Raw genomic sequence first — 8,704 nt, forward strand, 5'->3', positions numbered from 1 at the left:
TGAGACAGAGTCTCACTCTGTTGCCCAGGCTGGAGTGCAATGGCGCGATCTTGGCTCACTGCAACCTCCGCCTCTCGGGTTCAAGCAATTCTCCTGCCTCAGCCTCTTGAGTAGCTGGGATTACAGGCACCTGCCATCACGCCCTGCTAATTTTTGTATTTTTAGTAGATACGGGGTTTCACCATGTTGGCCACGCTGGTCTCAAATGCCTGGCCTCCCAAAGTGCTGGAATTACAGGTGTGAGCCAACACACCCAGCCTGTATTCTTCTTTATTAGAGACAAGAACTAGAAAATTATTTCCTCCCATTTTCACCCTCTGCTTTTCCTGCTGTCTTCTTTCTCCCTTCATTTCCTTTTTCTTGGCCAAACTCTCCTTAAAGTACATTTACAAATGATCTTTAACTGGCTGCAATACTATAAGAATTTAGCTACTTAAGAACCCGTCTTGGCTGGGTGTGTTGAGTCATGCCTGTAATCCTAGCACTCTAGAAGGCTGAGGCAAGCAGATTGACTGAGCTCAGGAGTCCAAGACCAGCCTGGGCAACATGGTGAGACCCTGTCTTTACTAAAATACAAAAAATTAGCCAGGTATGATGGGGCACGCCTGTAATCCCAGCTACTGGGGAGGCTGAGGCAGGAGAATTGCTTGAACCTGGCAGGTGGAGGTTGCAGTAAGCCAAGATCAAGCCACTGCACTGTACTGTCCAGCTTGGGTGACAGAGCAAGACTCTGTCTCCAAAAAAAAAAATAAAAACAAAGAACCCATCTCTACCAGTGTACATCACATCCCCCTCCTTTGTAAATGTGTATCTGCAGTGCAGGAAACAATGGCAAGGGATTTTGTAGAAAAACTAAGCATGAGGTGGGGCCCACTCTATCCCTTAGGCAGAGAAATGGGACCCATTTGGATTCTTACCTCCCGATAATCATTGATGCTTCTATAAATGTTGGTGTTAGGGATTTGACCCAGGAGAAGAATCTTAGCTCTGAAAGGAAATGCACTTGCCTTTAGGTCAGAGTTGGCTTACCTTGCCTTGTTAACCTCCTATTACCTGAGACAAAGTACCTGTGTGAACGAACAGTGGTGATGAAGAAAGCAGAAACTACTGAGATAATTAGTCCAATGTCCAGTCCCAGGAAAATTGAAGATGAGAATGTCATCATCCAAAGAGCCTTATGGAAAAGGGAATGAGGGGAAAATGATCATGAAAACAAGTTCAACTGAGAAAATGATCAGTCCTGTTTCTCAACTCACCTTCACCCTCTCCCTTACTACACCTGGGCTTTAGGGAAATATTCCATAGCCACATGGACTGGTGCCATGACAAACAATGGGGCCCTCCAGGATGCCTAGCAATTCTTTTATGCATCCCTGGTCGCCTCTGTCTTCAAATCTCTCTCAAAACTTCAATTTCCTCATGTGCAAAATAGTAATAATGTCTACCTTATAGGCTTTGTTGAGATTAGGAATACCATTTGCAAAGCCAACTAGAATACTCACCAAATGGTAGTTGCTATTTTAAGATGTATAAGAGTTGTTGCAAATCTTTACCATCCTTTTCAGGCCCCTACCCCAGCACCTTCTCCATTACTTCATCTTCACAGAAGAAAAGTCAGCTGAAATTCCTTAAATATATATTTTCCTCACCACCTGCCACTTGTCAGTGTCTATACTCAATGTTTCCTCATTCTCTTCCGTCCCTTTGGAAGTGTTATGCCTCCTCCTGGAATAGAAACTATCTGTGCAGTGGACCCGTCCCCTCTTAGCTCCTCAGGGATCTGGCTCCAAAAGTTATCCCCTTTCATATTTCTTTGCCTCTCCTGGGTCCTCCTCTCATCACATTCTATCCTCCACCTTTTATTTCTTGCTGTTTCCCCTTTCTGACCTCCGGTTTTGTGCTCCAGAGAGGAGTGTGCTCCAGCAGTTATTCTGCCTGACAAGACACCACCTTCCCTTATTGGGATTGGAGACTCCTATCCTGAAATGTATTTACATTAACTGGATTAAAAGTCATTCAAGGCTGGGTGCAGTGGCTCACGCCTGTAATCCCAGCACTTTGGGAGGCTGAGGCACGTGGATCACAAGGTTAGGAGTTTGAGACCAGCCTGGTCAATATAGTGAAACCCTGTCTCTACTAAAAATACAAAAATTAGCCGGGCATGGTGGTGGGCTCCTGCAGTCCCAGCTACTCGGGAGGCTGAGGCAGGAGAATCACTTGAACCCGGGAGGCGGAGGTTGCAGTGGGCTGAGATCACGCCACTGCACTCCAGCCTGGGCAACAGAGTGAGACTCCGTCTCAAAAAAAAAAAAAAAAAGTTATCCAAATATGCGATGAATGACAAACCCTTTTTGCTAGATTTGGATGTAACTGTAGCCACTTAATCCTTTTCATTTAATTTTGCATAGTTGGAATGAGGTCTTCGTGTTTTCATGTACCAACAACCTTGACTCTCCTTTTTAAAGCAAAACTGGAGTACTAGGCATCAAAGAGTTGTTTGTGTTCTTTAGGTCCATGGCAGATCTCTTTTGTTTGTTCTTTCTCCCTCTCTCCAACCTCCCTCTGCCCTCCCCTTCCTCAGCCAGGGCATCTACACTCACACAGTCATATTGGTCCTGCCTCCACAGGCTGGGTAGGTTAGAAATGGTTTCAAGGTAGGGAATGACGTTGCTCAGAATAATACCAGCCAGCACAGCCTGTGGGGAAAAGATAAATCATGGTTCATTTTCCCTTTGGGGTGTAAAACTCACAAATCCCCACCAAGGAATCACAAAAAGTTAGCCTTGCCACTTTGAGATATTTTGCATTGATATTTTATATGAATACCATGTCTATGTTCCAACTCATTGTCCAATCAAATAAATTTTCTCTACGTTTCTCTTTTCTCTTCCTTTCTGAGGCAGGGTCTCGCTCTTGCCCAGGCTGGAGTACTGTGGCGTGCTATCATAGCTCATTGCAGCCTTGAACTCCTGGGCTCAAGACGTCCTCCCCACTCAGCCTCCCAAGTAGCTGGGACTACGTGCCATCACTCACGGCTAATTTTGTCTCTACATTTTTCTTTGCCCTCCTCCTTAATTTGCCAAAAACACAAGGCAAGGTCAGGCCAACGTCAAGGCCTGACTGATTCAGCCAGGAAAGCTGACAATAGCCCCTTTTAGATTCAGGTAGTTCATTACTCACATAGACAGTGAGAGGAAGAGTAACTTGAGGAAAGTGAAAATCACCTCCTTACCATTGAGCAGGCCCCGGAGACAAAAACTTCTTATCTGAGCAATTTAAAAGGGAGCAAAGACCACCTGATGACCATCTGACAGGCCATCCGGAGGCAAAACTCCTTATCTAGGAATTTAGAAGTAAACAAACTTCCCTAATATCTCAAACTGGCATGTGATTCCAGGCCTCTTTCAACTTTTATAAGTAACAAAATTTTCTATACATCTCTGGAATGCTGTGCTGAAACTCGTTTTACAACCCTAAGCTCCCGCCTTAAGGTCTATGAATGCTCCTAAGGAAAACCCACCATAGCGCACTCAGTCCTCTTGCTGAGGCGCCTCACTGCATCCTTTCGCAGTGTTCTTCCCTTCTAATAAACTTTCCTTTTTCAAACCTATACTATTGTCAGTAAATTCTTTTTCCCAACCCACAAGTCGACCACTCACAGGTGCCAGGGCTCTGACATCTCGCCAGGCATAGCTAAAGGTTATACTCATCTATCCCCTTCTGCTTCTGTTACTTTTGGTGTGTGGAACAAGACCCATGGGAGCTGGTGCCTTTGGCTACTTGGCCTTGCCTTGTCTGGTTTGCTTGACATATCTGTTACCTACCTTATCTAGAAACCATTCTCAGATGGGATGATAAATTAAGAGAACTTACACTCACAGAAACTCCAAAACAATTCCAACTGGGCTTTTCTTCATGTTGAATCATAATATACTGTAATGATTTACTAATGAAATACCATTTTGTTTATCAAATTAAATGAGCAAATTTAAAATACTGATAGCCAAGTGTGGTGGCTCATGCCTGTAATCCCCAGCACTTTGTGAAGGTGAGGCAGGAGGATCACTTGAGCCCAGGAGTTCGAGACCAGCCTGGGTGACATAGTGAGACACCATCTCTACAAAAAACATAAAATTAGCCAGGTGTGGTAGCATGCAACTACAGTCCCAGCTACTCAGGAGACTGAGGTAGGAGGACCACTTAAGCCTGGGAGATGGAGGCTGCAGTGAGGTGTGATCATGCCACTGCACTCCAGCCCAGTGAAAGAGCAAGACCCTGTCTCACAAAAATAAAATAAAATAATTGATATTACCCTTTATACATGGTTGTTGAAATAGGGTGGTGCCCTTTTGGAAAATCACTTGACAGTATATCCAGAAATGCTGATATGTTTTCACACAAAAACTTTGTTTTACTTTCAGAAATTTATCCTAAATCTTGGCCAGACGCAGTGGCTCATGTCTGTAATCCCAGAACTTTGGGAGGCTGAGGCAGGCGAATCTCTTGAAGCCAGGAGTTCCAGACAAATTTAGCCCATGTGGCAAAAACCTGTCTCTACTACAAATACAAAAATTAGCCGGGCATGGTGGTACATGCCTGTAATCTCAGCCACTCGGGAGGCTGAGGCATGAGAATCGCTTGAACCTGGGAGGCAGAGGTTTCAGTGAGCCAAGATCACACCACTGTACTTCAGACTGGGTGACAGAGTGAGACTCTGTCTCAAAAAAAAAAAATCTTAAATCTAGAAAACTGTAGATGTGCCAGGCATGGTGGATCACGCCTGTAATCCCAGCACTTTGGGAAGCTGAGGTGAGTGGATCATTTGAGGTCAGGAGCTCAAGACCAGCCTGGCCAACATAGTGAAACCTTGTCTCTACTAAAAATACAAAAATTAGCCAGGCAGTAGTGGCGTGCACCTGTAATCCCAGCTACTCAGGAGGCTGAGGTGGGAGAACTCCTTGAACCTGGGAGGCAGAGGTTGCAGTGAGCCGAGATTGGGCCACCGCTCTCCAGTCTGGGCAAGAGAGTGAGACCATGTCTCAAAAAAAAAAAAAAGAAAATGGTAGATGTACAAAATTACTCATTGTTATTTATAACAAAAATGTAGACAACCTAATTTTCCAAAAATGTCAAATGTTATAGAATGAAGTTTCATGCTATATATTAAATAACAAGAATATAAAATTGTACAGTTAGGTTACAACTATGCAAAGTGATATCCATTTTTAGAAAATAATATTGGTTGGATAGATGCCAAAATGTGAATAGTTTTTTATTTGTGATGGTGAATGACATTTTTATCTATTTTGCATTTTCTAAAGTTTTGAAAATGAGCATGTTTACTTTTATAATGGAAAGAAAGTTTCCTAAATATGAGAAAATGAGGATTTATACGCACAAGCATATAAAAATCGTTCAGGGCTTCAAAGTAGAATTTAACCTACTTTTAAGAAGCATTTTTGCTCACACCTGGCTGGGCGTGGTGGCTCACACCTGTAATCCCAGCACTTTGGGAGGCCGAGGCAGATGGAATCACCTGAGGTTGGGGGTTCGAGACCAGCCTGACCAACATGGAGAAACCCCGTCTCTACTAAAAATACAAAAAAGTTAGCCGGGTGTGGTGACGCATGCCTGTAATCCCAGCTACTTGGGAGGCTGAGGCAGGAGAATCGCTTGAACCTGGGAGGCGGAGGTTGCCATGAGCCGAGATTGCGCCATTGCACTCCAGCCTGGGCAACAAGAGCGAAACTCCATCTCAAAAAAAAAAAAAAAAAGAAAGAAAGAAAGAAACATTTTTGTTCACACCTGTAATCCCAGCACTTTGGGAGGCTGAGGTGGGTGGATCACCTGAGGTCAGGAGTTCAAGACCAGCCTGGCCCACATGGCGAAACTCCATCTCTACTAAAAATGCAAAAATTAGCCAGGCGTGGTGGCAGGTGCCTGTAATCCCAGCTACTCAGGAGGCTGAGGCAGGAAAATTGCTTGAACCTGGGAGGCAGAGGTTGAAGTGAGCTGAGCTGAGCTGAGATCATGCCACTGCACTCCAGCCTGGGCAATAGAGGGAGACTCTCATCTCAAAAAAAAAAAAAAAAAAGATTTTCTTGTGGTCATGAAATTCCTGTATTGGTTTAATTTCTTAGCCCTTTCCTAGCTGTCCATTCCTCCATATTCTCTGCCTGGGAATTAGAACTAATCTTACCACGAGGAATGGCTGAGTCCACGCTTACTCTGGCTTTCTGAGGGTACCCAGTGACCCGTTAGACACAACAGGTCAGTAGAGGAGCGAAAAGCAAAGATGAAGTTGGCAGAAATTACTTCTTTCCCACCATACCATCTTTTCCACTATGCTATCTTCTTTCCAGTCAAGAATTTCCAAACTTCCTTCAATTTGAAGAAATACGGTGGGAAGGAAAATAAACTCAACCTCATAGGGTTTTTGAAAGGTTTTTGACTTGAGGCAGGGAGTATGGAGAGGAAACAAATCTTTTCATAAAACAATATGCAACAACATTTTTATCCTTCTAAATATTAAGGTGAAACATGCTCATGGTGTAAAAACAAGTTAAACTCATACATAATTTCCATTATCCCAGAGATAACCACTGGTATGTTCTACATTTTTCTTCCTCACAAAATTGGAATAATATTGAATATATTATTTTATATCATGTTTTTCAAAATTTGTGTTGGTCCTCTTGTAACTAGTTGAGATCCTAGCCTGAATGCTCTACTAGGGACTCTAACAAGGGTTTTGCAACTGTTCACAGTTTTTCAAGAAAGGAAGAAGTCATTTATAGCTTAGTACTCATAGAACCTTATTGTTACAGTAATTAATCTATTCCATTGATCTTATTATAATCACAACTGCTCACTCAGAAACATGCTAACTAGATGCTATAAAATTAATGTGATGTAATATGGCTAGCCAAAAGCAAGGGCTGTTCTGTCCCCAACGTGTTTATAATAAAGGAGTCCCAAATTTTATCACTACCCGTCAGTGAACTCTGATAATTTTTGTTTGTTTGGAATTTTAAAATTCTGCTTCATTTAGTTGTAAAGAAAAAATATCCATGTCCAAAGTAAATCAGTGAGTGGCCCTCCTAAAATAGATTCCAATAGTGATAGCAACAAAGGTGCTGTAGAAACTGAATTCTGGAGATTACCTCTACTGGGAATCAGAGGACCGCTTGCGTGTCAATTTTTACTAGTTCCACCCTCCTTGCATAGATTCCATGCCTTGGCTCCAAGGTCCTTGAATCATATGAGCAGAAGGCAGCAGCAGCCTTGTGGATGGTCCTGCTCTACTGACACCTGCTATTCACCAGGTGGAAAGGAAGCATTCAGAAGGAGGGAGATCACATTTACAACCACCCCAGCTTCAGGGACAGCCACCTCGGTGTGTAACCAAGCTGCTACATCCACAAATAAACCTTCTCTCACCTCCCTAAGTACGATATAAAAATGGCTAACAGGAACATGAAGAAAACTTAAAAGGAAATGATGGTCACTGAGTATAGACCTACTGTAACCTAAGAAGAGAAGGATTATAGCTAATAATTAACACACCTGGCATCTCTACAGGGTGCTCAGTTTCACACAAAGGGAAGAATGACACATTTGTATATAGAGGCATGCTGGCTGAATACTGAGTTAAGACACAACTTTCAGACCTGCCTTCTAGTGTTGTGAACTAACCAAGAGGCAGTGTAGCAGCAATGGGAGGACTGAGTTCACACAAATGCAGAACAAGGCCTTCTGGAAGCAGTGTAGGAAAACAGATGGCATGAATGCACAGTGAGTTTCCAAGCCCATGTTGGTGTGGCTTCTGAAGTCTATTTTGGTCATTTTTCACTGAATCCTTACTTACGAAGCTTGCTTTATAGCTTAAGCAATAAAAAGAAGATTCAATAATAATAATAACTTAATTTTATTTATTTATTTATTTTTTGAAACAGTCTCACTCGGTCACCCAGGCTGGAGTGCAATGGCGTGATCTCAGCTCACTTCAGCCTCCCAGGTTCAAGCGATTCTCCTGCCTCAGCCTCCAGAATGGCTGGGATTACAGGCACCTGTCACCACACCCAGCTAATTTTTATATTTTTAGTAGAGACGGGGTTTTGCCACGTTGGCCCGGCTGATCTTGAACTCCTGACCTCAAGTGATCTGCACACCTTGGCCTCCCAAAGTGCTGGGATTACACCACTCTTGGCCTATAACTAACGCTTTTTTTTCTTTTTTAGACGGAGTCTCACTCTGTAACCCAGGCTTGAGTGCAGTGGTGGGATCTCGGCTCACTGCAATCTCTACCTCCCAGGTTCAAGAGATTCTCCTGCCTCAGCCCCCAGAGTAGCTGGGATTACAGGCATGCACCACCATGACCAGCTAATTTTTGTATTTTTGGTAGAGATGAGGTTTCTCCATGTTGGCCAGGCGGGTCTTGAACTCCTGACTTCAGGTAATCTGCCCAGCTTGGCCTCCCAAAGTGCTGGGATTACAGGCGGTGCCCTGTATCCCAGTTATACGGTGTATAACTGTATAACCCAGTTATACGGTGCCCAGCCCTATAACTAATGTTTCTTGAGTGTTTACTATAGGCCCAATACTATTACATCTATCTATCTACACACCATATAAATCTTATATATAAATATACATATGTGTGTATGTGTGTGTGTGTGTGTGTGTATATATATATATATATATA

At 43.3% G+C, this 8,704-nt stretch overlaps 1 protein-coding gene across 6 annotated transcripts in view; it reads right to left on the bottom strand.

Moving 5' to 3' along the window:
• Window positions 1–8,704, bottom strand: part of SLC26A8 (solute carrier family 26 member 8) — an 81,126-nt gene that overhangs the window by 16,410 nt on the left and 56,012 nt on the right. For all 6 annotated transcript variants that reach the window (XR_926055.4, XM_011514294.4, NM_052961.4 and 3 more), the window contains 3 exons: window positions 2,601–2,696; window positions 1,068–1,174; window positions 918–987 (listed from right to left, as the gene is read on the bottom strand). Coding sequence is in view for 5 of the 6 variants with exons in the window: in XM_011514294.4 (XP_011512596.1) it covers window positions 918–987; window positions 1,068–1,174; window positions 2,601–2,696 (273 nt within the window). In the remaining variant the exon portion in view is untranslated. The remainder of the gene's footprint in view (window positions 1–917; window positions 988–1,067; window positions 1,175–2,600; window positions 2,697–8,704) is intronic.

This window comes from Homo sapiens, chromosome 6 (assembly GCF_000001405.40).
Source record: "Homo sapiens chromosome 6, GRCh38.p14 Primary Assembly".
In the NCBI taxonomy this organism is placed as follows: Eukaryota; Metazoa; Chordata; class Mammalia; order Primates; family Hominidae; genus Homo; species Homo sapiens.